Source organism: Homo sapiens, chromosome 4 (genome assembly GCF_000001405.40).
Source record: "Homo sapiens chromosome 4, GRCh38.p14 Primary Assembly".
Taxonomy (NCBI): Eukaryota; Metazoa; Chordata; class Mammalia; order Primates; family Hominidae; genus Homo; species Homo sapiens.
In genome coordinates, this window is record NC_000004.12 from 152,673,954 (window position 1) to 152,696,635 (window position 22,682).

The 22,682-nt window shown below is 43.4% G+C and overlaps 1 protein-coding gene and 1 long non-coding RNA gene across 5 annotated transcripts in view, besides 3 other annotated features; one reads left to right on the forward strand and one right to left on the reverse strand.

Moving 5' to 3' along the window:
* Nucleotides 1-6,044, reverse strand: part of TMEM154 (transmembrane protein 154) — a 61,370-nt gene extending 55,326 nt beyond the window's left edge. For all 4 annotated transcript variants that reach the window (XR_001741158.3, XR_007096383.1, NM_152680.3 and 1 more), the window contains exon 1: nt 5,917-6,044. Coding sequence is in view for 2 of the 4 variants with exons in the window: in NM_152680.3 (NP_689893.1) it covers nt 5,917-5,980 (64 nt within the window). In the remaining 2 variants the exon portion in view is untranslated. The remainder of the gene's footprint in view (nt 1-5,916) is intronic.
* Nucleotides 2,521-2,610: an enhancer, noted in NCBI's record as "active region_22041". NCBI's record gives its function as "activates an Ori minimal core promoter by ATAC-STARR-seq in GM12878 lymphoblastoid cells {active_cell/tissue: GM12878}" and the evidence as "EXISTENCE:reporter gene assay evidence [ECO:0000049][PMID:35858748]".
* Nucleotides 5,678-6,507: an enhancer, noted in NCBI's record as "H3K27ac-H3K4me1 hESC enhancer chr4:153600783-153601612 (GRCh37/hg19 assembly coordinates)". NCBI's record gives its function as "activates a minimal SCP1, AML or CMV promoter by ChIP-STARR-seq in naive H9 embryonic stem cells {active_cell/tissue: H9 hESC(naive)}" and the evidence as "EXISTENCE:reporter gene assay evidence [ECO:0000049][PMID:30033119]".
* Nucleotides 5,818-6,127: an enhancer, noted in NCBI's record as "active region_22042". NCBI's record gives its function as "activates an Ori minimal core promoter by ATAC-STARR-seq in GM12878 lymphoblastoid cells {active_cell/tissue: GM12878}" and the evidence as "EXISTENCE:reporter gene assay evidence [ECO:0000049][PMID:35858748]".
* On the forward strand, nt 6,132-7,709 carry LOC105377495 (uncharacterized). Its single transcript, XR_939359.3, has 4 exons — nt 6,132-6,351; nt 6,634-6,720; nt 7,122-7,187; nt 7,410-7,709. It is a non-coding gene; the product is annotated as an uncharacterized LOC105377495 (long non-coding RNA).
* The last annotated feature ends 14,973 nt before the right edge of the window (nt 7,710-22,682 follow it).

Genomic DNA, 22,682 nt, shown 5'->3' on the forward strand with positions numbered 1-22,682 from the left:
TATTTCCAAATTATTCTCCAGAATGGTTGTATAGAAAAATTTCCTTTTTCATATAATCTGATAAATGCGGTAACCTGAAAATTCTCCCAATGTGCAACACCTAGAAATGTTGAATAAAACATAAAAGGCAATCTTTTAAATGCATAAAGAAATCTCAAGAAAGCAAGAAAATACCTAAGGCTTAGGAGAGATATATATTTTTAAATGCTTAGAGGAAGTTGAAATTCGGAGTTATATCTACCAATGCGCATTTCCTCAACAAAGGTGTGGGCCCAGGGAGATAACAGGCTATATAATGTTTTCAGGGAGCTCCTGTCCATTCACTGGGTCAACAGTTAAAGCTAAAATTTCAGACCATGGTATAAGAAAAAAAAGTCACTGAAATGACTTTGGCAAAGTTCAGAGTCAGGTCAGCTACCCCAGGCTGATCTTGCCATCATCCTGACACCTGTGGAACCTGGGCCCTCCTCTGATTTTCAATTTGGATTGCTCTATTCCTTTCTTCTTTCTTGAGGGCAATCAGTTCAGTCTCCTTGGTTACCTACTTCTGGCGCCTGGCTTGCTCCACTGCCGGCTCTGGTCTGCCAGCTTACCCCCTCATGGAGGCTTTGTTGCTTCCTCCTGCAGCTCTTGGAAGCTGACCTCTGATGCTTGCCACTTCCCATTCAAGGCTGGGGATTAAGCCTGAGGTCCAATCATGGGCTCCCTTAAGCACACCCCTGTCTCAGTTTCTTCCAAATCCTAGTTTGTGATAACAAGGCTGGGGGTATATTCGAAAAGAATTGGGGCTTAGAGCACTTTATAGTAGCTTGGTGACAGGATCAGATAATTTGGGGTTCTGTTAAGTAGGGTGAGCCATCCTCGGTGTACCAGGTTCTGCTCTCAGGGCCCCCACGATTTCCATCAAGAATGGGAGGCAAGGCCAGGTGCGGTGGCTCATGCCTGTAATCCCAACACACTGGGAAGCCGAGGTGAGTGGATCACCTGAAGTCAGGAGTTCAAGACCAGCCTGGCCAACATAGTGAAACCCTGTCTGTACTAAAAATACAAAAATCAGCCAGGTGTGGTGGCATGCGCCTATAATCCCAGCTACTGGGGAGGGTGAGGCAGGAGAATCGGCTTGAACCCAGGAAGTGGAGGTTGCAGTGAGCCGAGATCACACCACTGTGCTCCAGCCTGGGCAGCAGAGCGAGGCTCCATCTCAAAAAAAAAAAAAAAAAAAAAGAATGTGAGGCAACAGATATGACAAGCGGCAAGATTATGTCTACACAAACTTTAGCTAAAAGTTACCAAATAGATAATAAGATGTTTAAAATAATGACATAAAAGAAGGAATAAATAACACAAGGGAAAAAAACCCAAAGCACAATGTGTATAAAAAAAGAACACATAGGCCAGGTGAGGTGGCTCATGCCTGTAATCTTAGCACTTTGGGAGGCCGAGGAGGGTGGATCTCCTGCGGTCGCGAGTTTGAGACCAGCCTGACCAACATGGAGAAACCCCATCTCTACTAAAAATACAAAATTAGCCGGGTGTGCTGGCACATGCCTGTAATCCCAGCTACTCGGGAGGCTGAGGCAGGAGAATCGCTTGAACCCACAAGGCAGAGGTTGCGGTGAGCCAAGATCGTGCCATTGCACTCCAGCCTGGGCAACGAGAGTGAAACTCTGTCTCAAAAAGAAAAAAAAAAAACAAATTTTCTAGAAATGCCAAATAATGATGACTAAAATTAAAAGCCCAATGGATGGCTTGACCGTCAAGATAGACAAGGTGATTGCACTAATCTACCCTCGGACCAGTAGTGCAGAGTTCCTGTCTCTCCATATCTTTGCCAACATTTGAGAGTGGTACAAACTACATACGAATAGGCAAGCTGCAGTTTGCATTGCTTCATTACAGAATTGAGCCCATCCCAGTCAATATCTTCCCTCTTATGGTTTCCTGGGATTCCAAATTTCAGACACAGAAGGACTTTAAAGCTCATCCTCTCTGTCTGTTTTTTGGGGGAGTCCCTTAGAGTATTTGGTCGTAATGGCCAGTTCTCAGTAGGGCTCTCCCACAGTGACTGCCTGACATAAGGCTGTTCTTCTCCTCGCTGGTTCCCACACCCTGAAGCCTCTTACCCAGTGACTTCAACATTCTGTTTTTCCTGCTTCTAGTCTTAAATCCCCAGATTCTCTTGTGCTCACTCTGCACCTCTTTCAGCCCCTCCCTTCCTCCTCAGCAGTCTGAGTTTTAACCCAACTCTCATCATTCCTCTTCCTCTCAGCCAGTCTCTGACCCAGTGCAAACAAATGCAGCTCTATAATTGACATGCAGCCACCGCAAAGCCTAGCCAAGAGTTCTGTGCTGCACCTACAGCTGGAAAGGTTCAACAACCACAGTTTTCTAAACCCAAAACTAAACGAGTAGCCTGGCAGAGCTTGGAAACCCAGAGGTAGTATGGAGTATGGTTAGAGAATGGACTCCTGAGGCAGAATCTTACTTAGATTCACTAATTAGCTGTGTGACCTTGGGCAAGTCACTTAGCCTCTCTGTGCCTCAGTTTTCTCAAATGTAAAAACAGGGATAATAGTGCCCACCTTATAAGGTTGTTCTGAGAATTAAATGAGTTAGTGAATGTAGCATTTAGAATAGTGCCTGACCTATAATGAGTTCTATATATGTTAGCTACTATTGTTATTAATACTTGAAATTGGGACTGTCCCAGGAAACAGCAGATGTCAGCCGTGTTCATTAAAATAAGATATGAGATACCACAGTGTCAGAATGTGTAGCCTTACTTACATAGCTAGTATTTTCTACTATTCTTTCTCTCCTTGTCAAGATTCATCCAATACTTATATAATTCTTATTCTTCTGAACCAGCCCAGAAAATCTCCCATTCCTCTCTGTTTGGCCACCAAAACAGTCACAGCATCCTTGTTTCTGCCTCATGGCCTTCAGCTCTCCCTTCTGCAACAATTCTGCTTTTAGCAACTAACAAATCCCATGCTTTTGGTATTTAGGAAATTGCTTTTGGTTTTCTGATAGTATTAAGCTGACACTGACAGGGCATAAAGAACAGAGACGGGGACACCCCTGCCCCACTTTACTCCATGAGCAGAACATCTCCTTGAGTTTGAACTTTCTTAGGATCCTACACTGGCCAAGGCACCTAGGCCCAAGCTTTCCTTTAACTATGCTCACCCATTCCATTATAGTCCCAGAAAAGCTGCTTTCTTATTTCTCTCCTGGTGACTTCCAAGTGAATTATTTCTCTTGGGGTAGAACTCAATTCTATGTCAGGCTATCTATCTCTAAAAAGAGAAGAGGTCGCTGACTCAGAGGTAACAGTGCTGGTCTCATGCAACTGCAGATATTATCTCATGTTGCCTGCTCGTTGTTAATAAAGGCTTAATTTGAGATACATCTCAGAGTATACTCACAAACAGTGTCAGGCCCTTCAGTAGGTTGGATTCATCTAACAAACATCCCCAGGTATTTTTTGAAGAATTCAAGGAAATATACCTGTGACACCTAGAAAGTAACTCATATCCTGAAGCCTTAGGCACTATTAGCTAAAAGTAGTGTACATTAATTAATTTTAAAAATCTTTAATTTAAAATCACCTTTTCCATGATGAATCATCTCAAAGTCATAGCTTTTATTCAACAGCTTTTTGCAAGTGGGCATTTTTCAGACATTGGGAATCCCAGCAGGGCCCAATTAGCATGTTGGATTATTTAGGTAATCCCTGCACTCTACTGAAATGCAACTTTTCATCTTTGACTTCTCTTTACATTCCAACACTACCTGTTTTCAGGAGCTATCAGTTTTTTTTGTAATCAGCCTCATATCCATTCTAGGGATGATTTTCATATTTATCAACAATTATTTTCTCATTTATGCTGAGCCCTTACAGGATTTTGGAAAGTCAAAGGTGAACTACAGAGGATTTTCCCTGGAGCTGTTCACAGCCAGTTGGGAGGCATGGACACAATTATGGTTCAAAGTGATTAGCAGAAGTTTAGGTCTATCGGGGCACAGCAGCAGGTACGAGTAGAGCTCCAGGGAAGGGGCAGAGAAAGGAGACATCAAGGAGGAGATCACATTTAGTTTGATACTTTTAAGGTGATACAAGAATTTGCTAGGTAGGAAAAAGAATGTATTCATTATAGGCAAGAGCCACGGAGGGGGACGACAACTGGAAGGAGGTGCCACTGGGAAGGAGGTTGCAGTGAGAGTCTAAGGGGCAAAAATGAGGAACAAGTGAAGGGGCATAAATGAGGGGTCCTTAAGGGGGAAGATGTGCACGATCAGATTCAGGTGTCAGAAAGGCAACTTTAACCAAGTCTCTTCAGATTCTCTTTTTGCATCTCCTGAATTGCAGACACTAGGACTCAATCATTTTTTAGAAGCTAAAAAAAAAGTTCAGGCAAGATGAATTAGTATTAAGGGAGTGTTTGAGGCACCTGTGGCAGTGTTGTGCAATAGAAGAGGTGGAAGGAGGATGGCTAGGCTTTTCTTCCCTGATGTCCTACTACGAAAGGTTCCAGAGCTCTTGGCAGAGACAGTGATTGGTTCCGGGGCGGCGGTGGGGGGAGGGGGGCAGTGGTGGTGGGGGGTGGAGGAGCTCAAAGAACTCTGGAGTAGAAGCCAGAAGAGCTGACTAGCAGCAAGACCCAGACATCTCCCTTCTTCCACCTCTGTTTCTTCACCTGTGTGCCCAATATGGTTTGAGCTGCATCATCTTCAAGTTCCCTTCCAGCTCCAAAACACTGGGCATAAAACAACACATCAACTTCCAAACCCACTCTGAACACTAAACTCAATTTAACCAGACATCTTTTCAGCTGGAATGATTTGCCTTCCACTTTGTTTTCTACCTCAGATGCCTGGGGGACCACATGGAGAACACCCAGGGGAAGAGAAATTGATGGAGTGGGGTGGCTGGGTGCTGGCTGCTGACCTCCAGGAAGTTGTCACATCTGTTAGGTTGGGGCTGATGTCCCTCATTCTATCTAAAGAACTGTAGCTTGAGAACTTTCCTTTTGCTTGGTAAATACTGCCCTACACTAGAAGCAGTCGGTGTTCATTGACAGAAACAATGGGCAGCCAGTGTATTTGCCCAAAGGCAAGTCAACAAGAGAGGCAGCTGAAGGTGCTTGTGCTTGTTGTAGCAACTGGCAAGGGTGTAAATCAGTTGTTGCTTTTAGCCCATAATAATGAGATTCAATATTGTTTTTTCCAATACCTTTGATTGGTTCCAATCATATTACTTTTTCAAACAAATCTTCATTAGTAACAATCAATGCAAAAAAAAAATCTGTAAAAGTAACAAGGTGCAATAAAAGTAGATGAAAGACCTTACTTGATGTGTTAGAGGGCTACCCTCTAACACATAGCTCTTTGGTAGCTCTTCGGATAATTTCCCGTTTCCTTTTTTTTTTTTTAAGTTTATGTCGTTTCTTTAGTATGCTTTCTAGTAGTAAATTTTCACACCCCAGTTTTTCCAGGAGATTTTGGAATCAGCAGACTTCTCAGCCCACACCATAAAAAGCAAATTAATCATGTCTCTGTTTCAGCCAATTGAAGCTTTTGTTTTTTTTTACATAAACTGCCAAAAAGTTTATGGTTTTCTTAATATGCCCATTAAAGCTGGTAAATTACAGGGACGCACACTTCCTGGAAGACAAAGACTGAAAGAGGGTTAAATGAAGTGAGAGCTGTAGCCAGTTTAGACAGCTGCAGCGAAAGCGAAGTCCCCTCTCCATCCCACCCCCCAAAAAAAGGAGTTCTAATTTTCTCCACTTCTTTCACAGAAAGGATTAGATTTTCTGGGTGTCACCCTCCCCGGCAGAGTTCTGTAGCCTCGGGCACCCTACCAGCTTTTGCGATCCTCCTTCCCAGGAGTAGGAAGTGGAGGCGGCTTACCCCGGCCGACGGGAACGAGCGCGATCACCAGGGCGAAGACTAGGGCTGCGCGGGGAGCCTGCATGTCCGCTCGCCTCGGCAGAGGCGCGCTCAGGATGCTGCGCCGGGCTGCAGCCTCTCTGAAACGTGAACATTTCCTGTTTCCTGCTTGTTTGGGTCGGTGCTGACTTGAAGGAGAGGTGTGTGCCTGTTTTTTAGGAAGTGATGTAATTCTGCAGGAGCCTGTCAGACCAGCAAGGATTGCAAAAGAGAAGTTGCTGTTGAAGCACTGGTTCTATTATCACGCCTCTCCAGCCCTTTGGAGTCCCGGCCTCCAGCTTTTGAAACCGTCCCCGGGGCAACAGAGTCCCTTGCTCAGATGTCGTTCGGTATCTGGGACTGGGAGGGGTCCTGGACCACACGCATTCTCACTCTGTGATTTTGCTTATCCCCCAGGTGAGGCTCCGGGGCTGCCTAGACCCTAGGAAGAAGCTGTCCTGTAGAACTTTCTGCCCTGATGGAAATGTTCCAAGTCTGCGCCGTCTGATACAGTATCAGCCACATTGGCCACTGAGCATTTGAACTGAGGCTAGTGCTGATGGAATTTAAATTTTATTGAATTTTTATAAAATTTTAATAACTCCAAGTGGCTAGTGGCTGCTGTGTTGGATAGCGCAGGCCCAGACAGCAGGGACAACTGCATCATCAGAAAACTGCCAGACCACTTCTCTCCGCCAGGTCCATTCTCCTTTCTCCACTCTGGAATGCCCTCCTCCCACCAAGGCCCACGCCAGATGGAGGTGGATGCCACACCCACACCTTAAGGTTATGTTCTGCTTCCCCAGAGAGAAATGATCTTTTCAAGGTCCATTTCCAAAGGAGAATATGCTCTGAGGGTGGAGGTAGGGGTGAATCTGCATCTCACCTTCCTTCCTTCTTACTTGACAATCAAGTTCTCAGACAACAAACAAAACAGGACAGAAACGAAATAGAATAATGGTAGAAATCCTATCCAATCGAAACAATACAGAAAGGTTGTGTCTAGTATACAGTGGAGATTAGTGTGTGTTGGGTGTTCTATTGGAGGTCCTTCCCTTGGTTTAGGTTTAGGGCCTAAGCATTCAGAATGCAGTTTCATAATCGTGGTGCCAAGAGAGACAGACAGATGGAGAGAGGGGTAGTGTTGAGGCATCAGACACATCTCATCTCTAAACCTTTCCCTGCAGATCACCATCTGAGTCATGACTTCCCGTCGTTTGTCTTCAGTGATCTGGTTGGTGCAAACGTATGAGGTGACTGGAATTCCTTAGCCCCTGACATAGCTGTTAATTTTTCTTTAATGCATTGCTGCTTTTCAATGTCATTAGTCACTGTTTATCTCAGTTATTATTCACAAGAAATAGGTTGGTGATTCATGTAAGGATCAGTTTGTTAATGGATTTACAGTATGCACTTTAATGTTTTAAACTGGCAATTAAGTCAATTCTTGATAAAATATGCTTTTTGCACCACAGGTGACAATACAGAACAAACAGCAGGAGAAAATAGACGTGCTCAAAACTGGGTGATTGATTTGAAAACAACAGAGAAAGAACTATTAATTAAACACTTGCTGAGCATGTGAATAGATCACGGGCTCCAAGACCTGCTGGTACTGAGTTGGGGTGGCAATTATTCCTGTACAAGCACGTGTTTCTGCAGCTGTGACACACACGTGCAAGAAAGCAGGCCCAGGGCTTGGGAGTTCTCTCCATTTTACCATTTATGCCCTATTAAAATATTATTAAATGTTATTAAAACATTGTTGAATCCCAGGCTGGAGGCAAATGTTTGTCAAGGGCAAGGTTGTCAGCCTTCGTTTCTTTCATCTTAAACTTCAGCTCCCTGTGGAAGCTTTTGCAGTCAGGTGTCTGTGGATTGGACCACAGACTGTCTTATTCTGTGGACCTCTGCTGAGCCCCATGACATGGCCAAACAGTTCATTACTGTTTCAACAAGTGCACTATGCATTGCTTCTGAGCAGTGCAACACTAAATCAGAGTGAGGTACAAAATAAACTGGAGCTGCAGAGAAATCCTGCCCAACCATGTAATTTTCTTTTGACCCCTGTGCTCTCTAAGACCCTTAGCATGATTAAGCTGATCTTAGGGGGAAGAAAATTACCATGATTGATCAGAAAATGGTAGCACCTCAATGATCTCTTTGCTGCAGTTAAAATCCCAGGGAGGCTGTGTGGTAGGTAAAGGGCTATTTACCTCTGTTTTAATTTTAGCAACCATTAATTTAGGCAAATAGCCACCCAGCCTCAGATTAAATCCCGATGCACTGGTGGCAGGAAGTCAGGGCCTCAGTCCCAGATGTGGGGCACAGGGGAACCTCAGAGTGAGTGGCACACAGGCAGGGGTAATGCCACTTTGGAGCCTGCCATTGGCTGTCTGAAAGCAGGAAAGAAGTATGGTGCTTCATCATGTTCAGAAGGGCAGGAAGGGACACTGGGAACCATGTCTAGGGACTCTTTATTACTTTACACAAAGGAGTGTGACTTTTACAATCAACTGTCTGTGCTACAGAAGTGACTCTCATCCTATCCTCCCTCCCTTCCCCCCGCCCCCTCCCCACCACCACTCCATGGGCCATAAAAGAAGAGGGACTCCAAGGGAACAAATCCAGATAAATGATAGGATCTTCCAGTGGGTGCAGACAGCCTTCTCCGCGTTCCTCTTCACACTCCGATCCTGCCATTCCCAATACACACAGATGTGCACATGCACTCAGATACACACACAGCTGTCTCTCACACACACATTCATGCACATGGTGGAAATAAATGAAGACTAAATGAGCACAAGCAAATGAAACCAAGCAATGGATATTAATTCAGAGCTTGCCATAGCAAGAGAGTCAGCCACCATCGCTGCATTTTGGCACAGACCCAAAGGCAGGCCAAGGAATGAGATAACTTTACAGTCGATAAAAGGAAGGCTCAGGGCCGGGTGCAGTGGCTCATACCTGTAATCCCAGCACTTTGGGAGGACAAGGTGGGCGGATCACCTGAGGTCAGGAGTTCAAGACCAGCCTGGCCAATATAGTAAAACCCCATCTCTACAAAAATACAAAAATTAGCCGGGCATGATGCGGGGTACCTGTAATCCCAGCTACTCGGAAGGCTGAGGCAGAAGAATCACTTGTACCTGAGAGGTGGAGGTTGCAGTGAGCCGAGATCCCACCATTGCAGTCCAGCCTGGGCGACAGAGCAAGAGTCGTTTCAGAAAAAAAACAAAAGGAAGGCTCAGGTATGGCCTGAAGGGAGGCTGCTGGCATGGGGAACCAGCAGCAAGTTCTAGTGATTGGTGAGGAGGTGCATATTTTGCTGCTGCTAGATCAGAAGAGGAGATAAAAATGAGGGAATCTGTCAGAAGGTGCTCTGACCTCCTACAAGTTTGATTTCTAGCAGGCTGGCTTCCTAGACTTGCTACTGAAGATAGTGAATTGGTTTCTGGGGGTTGGTTGCTGCAAGCTGGGAGCCAGTGTTCTGTTTTTGCATATATTATTTGGCCACTGTCCATTTGTACATCCAGTCTCCCAACACACACCCACAGGCACACTCACATACTCAGAAATGTGCACACGTGCTCACACACACACGCTCTCACATCGACACTCACATACAAATGTTCTGGAGCTTCTTTCTCTGTCTAAATGCCTGCTAGTGACAGTGGATGGTTCCTGGGTGTTTGGTTGGCTGTGGGCTGGCCCTCAAACAAGATAATAGTAACATCAGGTGGGGCCTGTGTATCACTCTGAAGCCAGCTAGGAAGGTGCAGGGAGGAGGCAGATTGAAGTCCCAGGTTCTGAAGGAATGCCCAGAGAGGTAGCCGGGCAGGGCAGAGGCTGGGGCAGAAGGATTAGGCTGACATTTAGCGTGTGCAGAGAAGCCACAGCCAGGAGAGGGGCTGACAGCCATCTCACTGCGCGTGAAGTGGGGGCAGCTGGAGCCTGCACAGCCGGGCTCATCTTGACCAGCCTATCTCCACCCTTGGGGGTCTCTGTCTCTGCATCCTGGCTGCCAATACTCTTCAGAGAAACTGTTGCAAGGTTTGGATAATCCTAGGGGCTTCCATGACAGGGTCTTCCAGGGCCTAGGTAGATGGCCTGGTCACCACAACATGAAACTGTAAAGGATTGTGATTAGGAGCTAAAGTGGCAGTTGACACGTGGGACACAGTGCAGCGCTCTGGGCTAGAGGGTGCTGGGGCGTATCTAAGAGACAGAGCAGCAGCTCACTGCTGAACATCCACAGTCCTCCTCTAATTGCCCTCTGAGAGCAATGGCATTCTCTGTCTTGCTCTCCAGTCTATCCTCAGCATTTAGGACAGAGAACAGAGAAGTGAGTAAATGGGGGGAAAATCCCTTTACAGCAGTATTTTTTTAAGTGCACTGGAGGGGGCCACCTATGTTAGAATTATTCAGGGGAGCTTGTTAAAATTCAGAGTCCTGGACCCTATGCCAGAACTATTGAGTCAGAATCCCTAGAGCTGAGGTCCATAACTCTGTATTTGTAATGTTTGAGGGGATTTTTATGCATGATAGATAAAACTCGAGAATCATGTGTTAGTTAGTTCCTGGAAATTATTGCTAGTTCCTAGAAAGGTCCCTTTTCTCCAAAGGTAAGAAATAAAAAGCACGTTGTATTTTCCTGTTTTGCCTTGACTGCCAGGAGGCCTGGAACTAAAAGTTGAAGCTTGGTTGTGTAACTTTTATTAGCCCAGGTGTCTTTACCATTTCTAGGAATATTTCTTTTCCTGGCTAACTGTAACTCATCTGTCTAGCCCTAATTTAGAAGACATCTCCACCAGGGAGCTATCTTAGAAGCCTTCCTCCTCCCCCTAACCCAAGCTGAACAAAATGCTCATCCTTTACTGCCACCCACATAACACCCATCAGAATACAACCAGAAGACCTGGCTGTGTCTCTGTCTCCCCGCCTTGATTACCCTCGTCTCACTCATCTGTGGTCTCCTGCATCTGTTAAAAGGAACTAGACTTCTTCTTCTATTGCTGTTTTGTTTTTGATCAAATCATATCTTAAGGCCTTTTCCACCCAAGTCTCTCCAAATATTTTGCAAGTAGGACATACCTCATTAATAAATATATAGTATTTATACCAAAGTCCACTCCAGAATGATACATGCAGATTGATGGCCTCAATGATTCTTCTTTTGCTTTTCTGTTGAATTTGACTTTCCCGATTCACAGTTGATAGTGCCCTTGCGAACTAAATCTTCAACACCAATGGAACTAGAAAAAACAAAGGAACAAAAGATTTGGAGGATGTAGCAAATTATAAAAGAAAGCCTGGGCAATACAGTGAGATCCCGTCTCTACAAAAAATAAAAAAATTAGCCGTGCATGGTGGCACCTACCTGTAGTCCCAGCTACTCAAGAGGCTGAGGCAGGAGGATCACTGGAGCCTGGGAGTTCAAGGCTGCTGTGAGCTATAATTGCGTCATTGCACTCCAGCCTGGGCAACTGAGGGAGCCCCTATCTCAAAAAATAATAAAATAAAATAAAATAAAATAATTAGGAAAGATGCTAGGGTATATCCAGTGCCAGGGTATATATGTGGGTAGTGCCAGAAATAAGCAAAATTTGAGAGGATATTGTATCAGGTGAGAGAAGGTAACAGGTGACTAGTTTTCAATTTAAATAACTTATTTTTCATATTACAGAGACAATACATGTTTGTTGTGGAAAAACTAAAAATACATAAAAAGCAGAATCAAAATTATTCTGTTTTTAAGTTCTTCCAGATCTTTTTCTATACATATTAACTAGCAGTGTTATTCCACTTTGTTTCCTGTACTAGCAGTTGGTATGACAATCCTGCTAACTGGCCGGAGGTATAGAATTCCCAGGTAACAAATTCAGATATGGGAAAATGGTAACTTGCTCTAGTTTTCTATTACAGCATCAACTTTGAATTCCAATTCTTCTGCTAGTGGTAAACCAAATGCAGTCACTTACTAATATGATCAGTTTAGTGATTTCCCAGGTATTTGGGAGTAACTTCAGTTATTTCTGGGTCCCTCCCTTGCTCCACCCTTTACCCCCACTTCCGTTTTTTTCTAGAATTGCCTCCAGAATGCCAAAGAGTTGATAGGGAAAGTTGTCTCTAAAATACAACATTGGTTCTTCAGTCCTTAGAGGACCAAGAGCTAAGAATTAACTCCTTATGTTTATATTTTAGAATGGCCTCCTTTTTGTAGATCAAATGGTCTAATTTCCTAGTTTGGATGGGTTCAGGTAGGTGTATAAACAGAGAGTGTCCAGGACTCCCAAATGCATATTATGTTTATAGAATTTCATTTACTATCCTGCCACTTATATTCATGATAATTTCAGTAACAATGCAATGCACTCTCTCCAGGGAAGGATGGATGTGATGAGACATGGTGGGTCCGCTGGATTGAGCACCAGAAGCCCAAGGTCCCAGTCTTAGTTCTTTCACTAATGAGATTCTCTTGCCTCCATTTGCCTTATATGTAAAACAGTAGGGCTGAGTAGATGATCTCTAAGACCCGGCACTCACATTCCATGAGTCTATCAGATTCCTGGTGGGGAGGCGCATACAAAGATTTTCAGAGGCAAAGGTAGACCTAAGCTTCTAAAGACATGGACCTGCTACAAACAACCCAGCCAGGTCCTCAAGCCTTTCCATCATCACTGAGATCCAGAAACGAAGGCCTGTATTTACAGCAACATCACAGTCCTGCCAGGATAAGAATAGAGGGTGGTGCCTTCCAGAACTGCCAAACAGCTGGGCATCACTGAATTGAAATAGACAGCCATAAACAGGGTGGGTTGGAGAAGCATGACAGTTGTGAAATCAGGGCAGGAGGAAGGAAATAAACAGGCAAATACACCGGAAAGAAACATGATGTGGTTGCTTCGCTATCTGTGAAGCAGCAAATGCAAAGCTTATCTGAGGCCAGGAACAAAAGTCGTCATGTCTACAGTGATGATCGTCTCAGCTACGAACACATAACAATAAGCACTGGTGTTGGTAACCATGCTTTAGCACCCAAAGGTCCACAACAACTTTGCTATGCAGCAAGAGGTCACTTGCTTACATATCTCATTGTTACATTCTCTCTTCGTGAAAACTGGCAATCCGTTGGAGTAGACTAGATCATTGTTCCCGGTTCTTCATGCCTTTTCTGAATTACAGTTCTTCATCTATGTCCTTGCAACTTGGTAGTTTATGTCCCTGCCTTTCTGATGCTGGGCCAGGCCATGTATGACTTGCTCTGATCAAAGATATATGGATGGGAGAGACAGTGTGCTGGGTGTGGTCAAAGGTCTCTAAGAGCCATCACAGACTTTGACTTGCCTTCTTGTCTTTCTGTGATCTTGCATTTATATGATCTTCGAAGATGAGCCCCATAATGTGAAGCAGAACACAAAATCAGAAACCCAGACTCCAGCCTAGTATAGCCTATGTCAACCAAACCGCAGCTGCAGACCCATGAGCATGAAACTAAATGGTTATGATTATGAGCTATGGAGGGATATAAGATTGTTCCGTAGCATTAGTGCAGCAATAGCAAATTGATTTATCTCTTAGGATTCTTCATTCAGGAGTTGCAAACCTGAGTGAAGAAAGTCAGATAAGAAAATAAGAACTGCTTTTGGTAAGCAGAGAAAAACTTTGAGAAATTGGCTGTCAGGTTATACTGTAAAGCCTTTGGAAGATAGGACTGTTCACACTTAACTTGTCATGCTCATCTTTTTCCCTTCTCCTGCAGGAACCACTGCTCAGTCTAGAGCCAGCAATTATATACAGCTGGGTCATGCTATGTTTTCACCCATGGCACTCCTGGATTCCTGAGTCACTGGACAGTTGTGTTAGAACCCGTGTTCACAGAAGTGTTTATTGGACTGAAAGGATATTAATAGCACGTGCAGCATTTAAGCTGTACTCGTGATCTTTATCACATTATATTCAGATGATATAATTTAGATGATCTCTTTCTGCACTAATTGATTATACGCTTCTGGGAATGCTTCTGGGAAGCAGGATCCATACCTGAGTTAACTTTATGACTCCCTTTTACTCAAAGCTCTGCCCTCCAGGAGAGCCTAGAGCCAAGTAATACATGTTAAATGAATACAAGAATTAAAGAATCTTAAAATGGCCCTTATTCAAATGAGATAAAAAAATCTCTTCTTGCATATGGGCACCTATGTTTGTAGATGGTCACAAGTTACTGAATCAGAGACAAATAAAATAATTCTTACTGTCTCCCTGCCAGGAGATTAACTCCTGAACCTTTGCAAGGGTGGCCTTTCATTGGAATGAGCCCGGTACACACACCCTGCCTACATTCTCCTCCTCTGGTGTTGAGTTGTTTTTCTCCATTGCACAAACCTGTCTGTCCTTTCTCCTCAGGGTCCTTTGCAAAACACATTGCCACATTGCCTCTTAAAAAAAAAAAAAAAAATCAGACCCAATAGGATGGAAGTTTGAATGCCTGGCTTTTGTCTGTGAATACCTAAAGGTGTTCGCTTGGTGATGTCTGGAGGTTGTTCAGGCTGTCATCAATTACAGTGCATGCCAGGCTCCTGTGGGGCTTTGGCAGGAGAGGAAGCTTATTTTAGATGCTTGCAGAGCACTCATAAAACCTCCTTCTTTGATCATCTTTAGGGATTGAGGATTTTTTCTGGCTGAGGACAAAATAAGAGAAAAAGCATTGTCTTCACATAAAAACATTAGCGTGTTGAAAAAACAAGGAGACAAAATATGCTTGCATATGCAGAGAAAACTGGAAGGATGGGATCCTCCAGGAATTAAGAGTGCACCTCTGGAGAAGGAGATTGAAAGCTGAGGGGAGACAGGGCACGGAGGAGGAGGAGGGAAAATAAAGGAGGCAGGTTTCCCTTAATACGCTTCTGTACTATTTGAAAAAAGATTAATACTGTGTATTACCTTCTTAATATTAAAAACAAAATAAGAAAAGATGTGTAAGGAGAAAAAAAGAGATGTACAATTATGGAATGACTTTTGGGCCCATAGGTAGTTGGTGATGCCAGTGGAAAAGAAGACAGATGACTCAATTAAAAAAACTTAGATTTTTAAGAGACACTATGTATCAAAGTCAGAAATTATAAGTCAACAGTAGGATTGCCTAGTAAACAAAAACCAAAGGGATGAGAAAGAAAAGAGAAAGCATCTTTAAGTCAGGACGTGAAGTTTTTTTTGTTGTGTTTTGTTTTGAGATGGAGTCTCGCTCTGTCGCCCAGGCTGCAGTGCGATGGCGCGATCTCGGCTCACTGCAACCTCTGCTTCCCAGGTTCAAGCGATTCTCCTGTCTTAGGCTCCTGAGTAGCTGGGATTACAGGCTCCCATCACCACGCCCGACTAATTGTGTGTGTGTGTGTGTGTGTGTATTTTTAGTAGAGACAGGGTTTTACCATGTTGGCCAGGCTGGTCTTGAACTCCTGACCTCAGGTGATCCACCCCCCTCAGCCTCCCAAAGTGTTTGGATTACAGGCGTAAGCCACTGCACCTGGCCATGAAGTTTTGTTGCAAAAGATTCTGTGGACAGAATCCAGAGAAGCTACTGAGTCCATACATAGATAACTGGAAGCATATCTTTATGAAATATCGGTGTGGGATAGGGGAAGGCATCCCAACATGGAATTTTTTTAAAGCCTTATTTGATGACCAGAAAAGACTGTGGGTGAGGCTGGAGGCACAGTTGGAGGGGAAAGATGGAAGGGTGACCAGAATGCAACTCTAAAAGCTCATTCCAAACCCCAGGGGTTCTCGACTGGGGTATTTGTTAATGTCTGGAGACATTTTCAGTTGTCACAACTTGGTGGTGCTACTGGCATCTAGTGGGTAGACATCCTGTAACACAGAGGCCAGCCCCCAACCACAAAGAATTCTTTCACCCCAAATGTCAGAAGTATGCAGCGTGAGAAACCCTGTACTAAAAAGTGAATAATGAGATTGCTGAGCAGTTAATGCCTCACATTGTGTGTGCTTTACAGTTTACTAGGTGTTTCCACATCCATTTGCTCCTCATCACAAACCTAGTGGGTTGGCAGGGCAGACTTCTCTATTTCCCTGTGGCTGCTGAGGAAGTAGAAGTTCAGAGACTGATCCAAGGGCACACAGCCTGGAGTCCAGGTGTTTGGCCCTGTCTCCACACTCTGCTGACTCTCCTGTCCCATGTGGCATACCAAAGTCATCTTTGAACGAGATGCTTGGGTGAATATGTGCCATGCCCCAGAAGGTGACAGGGAGAGGGGCTGCCAATGAAGCAAAAGTAGAAAACTCACAGTGCCAGGGGTGACATTACTGAAAGGGACTGATGGAAAATTGCTCAAGTGCCAGTGAAACAGCTACAATGGTTTCCCCTTTGGTGGTGGCTCTTGGTCACATTTTGTCATACACCCACAGGAGTTTTTGATACACAGAGACCTGAAAGCGCTTGGCTTGTTCAAGGAAGGACAATTACATGCAGTTAGAAAGTGGAGGTGATGAAAGAGATGTGGCGGACAGTGAGGTTGGAAAGCAGAGACACGATCCTGGAGATCAAGTGAAAAATAGAACTAGATTAGGTGTCGTCCAAAAAAAACCACCTAATTGGCCAAACTGTAGAAAGGAGAGCTTTATTGGAGATAACTGGTTTACAAGCTGAGAAGATAAAATGTGGATTGAAGGTGCTATCTCTTTGAAGAGGGGAAGGACAGGTTGGGTTTTATGCCTTGCACAGCCTGTATCACACATATTCAGCAGGTTTGGGGGCAAAAGTTGTATTTATAAGGGGAGCAAAGTGCATGCACAATGGGTAAACATATGTAATATATATCCTGTGTTCACTTTGGGGTGGGGTTTTAGCATTAAAATGAGGTGGAATTTGGCTGTTTACATCAAAAAGTGAACTATAGGACACAAAAACTGTTTGTATGCAGCCTTTATAAGCTGCCTGAAACTGGCTTAAGGTCTGCAATTGCTTATCAGAAAAGAATGTTTGTAAGGCCAGTCCTCTGTCCAGTCAGAGTCATAGTGGCCTGGGTTGTAAATCAGAGTTAGGAGGGGTATTGTTAGTGTGTTTAATAAGAGTGTGTGTGTGTGTGTGTGTGTGTGTGTTTGTAGCTATAGAAATTTAGAAATTTCTACACGCCAGCCAGGTCCTGAACCCTCAACCTGTAGGAAACTTTTGTTTCCTTAACCTTGGGGTCAATCATAACTGGTGAAGGAGCATCTATTTTGGTATTGCAGATCACAGTCAGCAACCACGAGCCCTGGACATTTTGAAGGGCAGTAGTGACATGAGTTGACCAGTGTTTTAGAAAGTCTCCACTACATGAAGGACATTTTCTTTGAAATCACATTTATTCCTCTTGCCCATATTATAAAACTGATTGCTTTTAAAAGCATTGCATTTGATGTCGGTGGGTTTTCACTGAGGGCTGAGTACTCTGCTACAATTTGGATGACAGAACTTACAGAGAAATTGGAAGCAGATGAAAATAGCATCCTGCACAGGCTGTCCTTTTGGGTGCCTATTTAAATACATAGTAAGTGAAGTCATAGCACAAACACTCTTACGAGCAGCCATCACCTGACACTAACCCAAATAGGTTTATTACTACAATGCTACATTCAAATGAACCAAAATAGCCTACAGTGTGTACACAGGGTATCTAGTGTCATTTACATTTGCTGTCTCTGAAATGGAGTTCATCACCCTAAAAAGTGTAAGAAAGGAAAGCACTTAATTGCTCATGGTATCATGCTGTGCACCAAACCCAATAGTGACTGTCTTTACCTTTTAATTACTTACAACTCATATTTTAATAAACATTTTAATATTTTTTTGGGTAATACATGCTCACTGTAGATAAACTGGAAAAATGCAGATAAGTAAAAGGCAGAAAATAAAAGAGTCACCCACTATTCACCACAATACATTTCTTTCCAGAGTTATTATCTAAATTGCCCTTCTAAACACATTAATCATGGTGCCTTTTATTCCTAACTTCCTCTTACAGTTTCAGAGAAGATGCATCAGGATACTTTATTGTTCTAAAGTAAACACTGCTTAGATCAAAGGTGGCACTTGACCCAAAGCCATCCAGTGATCCACAAGGTAGCGGGCCTGAGGTCATCTGCCCTAGAGGAGTGATAATGAGCAAATCTAACTTGTCCTTCTGAAATCTGGACTGAAGGATTTGTGGCCCATTGGCCAATTGGCAGTGAAAAGGGTGAAACTCACAAACATGGAGCTAGAAGGACAGGTCAACGAGAGAGAACACCTGGGTCAGATGAGAGGGCGACACAGAGAGAATCAGCGGTAGGGCTGAGAGTGTGCTAGGTCCATCCACAGATAGCCTTATAATAAAGCCCCTCTTTCCTTTCCCCTTAAGGCAGTTAGACACTGTTTTTGTTTTGTATAATCAAAAGTGCTACATGGGCCACGCACGGTGGCTCACACCTGTAATCCCAGCATTTTGGGAGGCTGAGGTCGAAAGATCGCTTGAGCCCAGGAGTTCAAGACCAGCCTGAATGTGGTGAAACCCTGCTCTACAAAAAAATACAAAAATTAGCCAGGCTTGGAGGCACACACCTGTGGTCCCAGCTACTGCGGAGGCTGAGGTGGGAGGATCTCTTGAGCCTGAGAGGCAGAGGTTGCACTGAGCCAAGATAGCATCATTGCATTCCAGTCTGGGCAACAGACAGACCCTGTCTCAAAAAAGAAAAAAAAGTGCAATATGCTCAATTTTATTTTAGGGTTCCCAGTCATTAGCAGGAAATGGACATGAAGTAAATCTTAATGTTTATGCAAATGAAATAATTCACCTGTTCTCTCAAACAAAATTATACTGTATTCAAGATCTTGGGAAACTCCAGGTAAAATGTCATGATTCCCAACCTCAAGGAACTTATTATGAGATATAACTATAAATATCTACAGACAAATAAAAATATAGTTATTTTAAGAAGGGTAAAATGACATACTTCATTGAGGATGCTTTTGGCTTCAAGCAACAGAAAACCTCACTTAAAATGCTTAAAAAACGGAATCTCACATTAAAAAAAGTCCTAGTCAGGCATGGTGGCACACCTGTAGTCCCAGCTGCTAGTGAGTCTGAGGCAGGAGGATTGCTTGAGCCCAGTATTTCAGGTCCAGCCTGGGCAACATAACGAGACTCCATCTCTTTAAAAAAAAAAAAAAGTCTGCAGATAAAGCAGTTCCAGGGCTTACTGGTCCAATGAATGCCTAAACACCATCATCAAGGACATGGGTTCCTTCTGTCTTTCTGCTCTGCCATCTTCAAAATTTTATTGACTTTTGGTCCTAAGGTTTGTTTCCTCATAGATGCCAGGTGACTATTTCTCTTCCAAGGATCAAACCCTTACACAACAGTGTCTGAAGTTTGGAAAAGATGATGTTTCTGAGTTATAAGAAAAACTCTCAGAGCCCACTAGCCGGCTTCCCTTCGCACTCCATCACCATTGTCACTGGCAACGGAAATGGAATTATCTAATTGGTTTAGCCTAATCAAGAATCACCCCTGAGACTGGAGAGGGGTGCGTGAAACACATGGTTACCCAATACCTCAACAAAATAGGGGTTTGGTTAACAGAAAGAGGGGGGCGGCACAAAATGATTCTTGAGTGGGCAACTAAGGGTGTCTGTCATATATGGTTTAAAAGGGCAAATTTAAAAACTACTGATGGGGGTTGGGGAGATGTTGGTCAAAGGATACAAAATTTCAGTTAGATAGACAATAAGTTCAAGAGAGCTATCATGAACTTATTTTAGAACAGGGTGAGAATAGTTAATAACAATGTATTGAATTCTCAAAAACTACTTCAAAAAGTGGGGGAAATGACTAGTAAAACAAAAATGGAGTAAAAATTAGAGTTAAAATTAGTATAAGAATCTAGATTAAAATACAGATTAAGAAAAAATTTAAATATCACATAGTTTAATGAAAAGAAGAAAAAAAGCTGAGGAAAATTGAGATCTAACTGAAATATTAAATCCAGAAAACTAAGATATCAAAAAGATGAAACGATAAAATAAATTAAGCCCAGCAGTTCTCAAAGGATGGTTCTTTGGCCAGAAGCACCAGCATAAACTGGGAACTTGCTAGAAATGCAAATACTGGGCTCCACCCCAGGGCTACTGAATCAGAAACCTTGCGGGTGGGGCCCAGCAATCTGTTTTAACAAGTCCTCCAGAACCAACAGGATCCCCAGGAGTTGATGTAGCTAACACTTCTGAATCCAAAGAAAAATAGACACTTTAAAACATTAAAAATTGTAAAATGAGGCCAGCGCGGTGGCTCATGCCTGTAATCCCAGCACTTTGAGAGGCCCAGGCGGGCAGATCACCTGAGGTCAGGAGTTCGAGACCAGCCTGGCCAACATGGTGAAACCCTGTCTCTGTTAAAAATACAAAAATTAGCCAGGTTGGTGGTACATGCCTGTAATCCCAGCTACTACTTGGCAGGCTGAGGCAGGAGAATCGCTTGAACCCAGGAGGCGGAGGTTGCAGTGAGCCGAGATTGTGCCACTGCACTCCAGCCTGAGCAACAGAGCGAGACTCTGTGTCAAAAAAAAAAAAATTGTAAAATGAAAAAAAATCAGTAGGCAAAAGGGCCAAATAAAAATCAGCATCTAGACCGATTCCAGGGTTAACATCTTTTTGCTGGGCAAACACGGTTCTCTGAGCCACTTTACCCCTTCCCACTCCCCTGGCCCCATGTCCTGACTGACCACCTAGTTGGTTGCCCTACCAAAGTTAAAATGAGCGGTTCTCATTCTGGCTACACTTTAGAATCACCTGGAGAATATTTAAATAATGTGGATAAACCAGCCCCTTCCTCAAACCAAGCAAGTCAGAACCTTGAGGGTGAGGACCTGGCCTCTGTATTTTTAGGAAATCTCTTAAGTGCTCCTATTGTACAGCCATGGTTTTGAACCATTGGCTTAGAGCTTCTAGGTTGAGAGGTGAGGGTTGAAGAGGCCTCTTGGCTCTTGATAGCTTCCTTGACCTCACACTTGCTGCCCATGTTCCTCAACAGCCTGGCTATAAGCTTTGGAGAAAACATAAAACAAGTATGCACGCAGCTCACATCTTTTCTCCAGCAGGTCTACGTATACCTGCCCTGCATACCAACATCTGACCCTCAAATTACTCCATCTGGATCCCAGATTGTGGGCTCTCAGTATGGAAAAGCATAGGCCAATGTTGAAATTCTTGACTGATGTCTCTTGTGCTTTCTAAACACTGATGGGGCTGGGCATGGTGGCTTATGATTATAATCCCAACACTTTGGGAGACTGAGTAGGGGGATCGCTTGAGCACAGGAGGTTGAGACTGCAGTGAGCCATGATCTCGCCACTGCACTCCAGCCTGGGTAACAGTGAGACTCTGTCTCTTAAAAATAAATAAATAAATAAATAAATAAACACTGATGGGAACATAATGTCCTCATTTCCAGCCTGGGCCAGTCCACCTCATAGGGAGCAACCCTAATTTTACATATGTATAAAATATTATACAGATGGTCCCCAACTTATAATGGTTCAACATATGATTTTTTTGACTTTACACTTGGTTTATTATTAGATGGATTTTCGGCTTATGATATTTTCAACTTATGATGGGCTTATTGGGACATATACCCATCATAAGTCAAGGAGCATCTCTACATACTATGTAATTATAATATTATACGTAAATTCTTTTACGCATAATTATATGTTATATGTAATTATTAGATATGTGTGTGTATATACACATATATACACATATGAAAAATGAAAATAATATATATTTTAGTGGCCTAGGAGGGGGCCTGAGCATTTTAGAAGGTTCTCAGGTGATTTTCCTGGGCAGCCAGCATTGAGAACCACTGATTTAGAGTGAAACATTCATAAACTCAGATCTCTGGATAAGAAAATATAACATATTTAAAATAGAAGAGAGAAATACAGGTAACAAAAGTTCCCAAATAATGTCAGTGGGAAGAAAGCCTGGACTTTGCTTACTCTCTCTTCACGCTCTCAAGAGGTGTGTCCACAAAGCACTCTCAATAGCTCCCGTAGCAACATTGATTCTTCCACTGGACCTTCATCTTTTCATGGTGGCCCAAAGGCTTTGCTCTCCCTCTCTCCCTGGTAGGGAGCTTGGTTCCATTGCTTCTTCATATTTGCCTTCTGACTCCCGCTAAGCCTCACCTGAACCAGCAGACACAAATATTGTTCCTGAGGTGTCTTCCTACCTCAAGGCTCAATTGAGCTGAACTTCCCTAGAAATGACAAAGCAAGATACAAGAGAGATGGGCCCTAACAGACCAGTGAGCAGCCATGGCGGTTTAACAGACAAAAAGAGGATGGAGGGGGCTGGGAGAGAGGGCGACCACCTGTCCTGGTTTGCCTAGTTCCAAGGGCTAAAACTGAGACAGTCCTGAACAGTCCTATGACCAAGCACAGCTTTGTGTCTTGCAGGAGACGACACTTTCATGTGGGTCTATGAGACCTCATTGAACACAAGCATTTTATATTTTATTTGTTTTGTGAGCATGCTAAGAGTTAATTTTCCAATTTTCTTTTTTCTTTTTTTTAATTAAACAATAGATGTGTCAACCATCGAAAAACTTAAATATTCAGAGAAGCAAGAAAAAAACAAATGAAATCACTTGTAATCTCACTTTCCAAGGAAAATTACTTTTAAGATACTGGTGTTTCTCCTTCCAATCTTT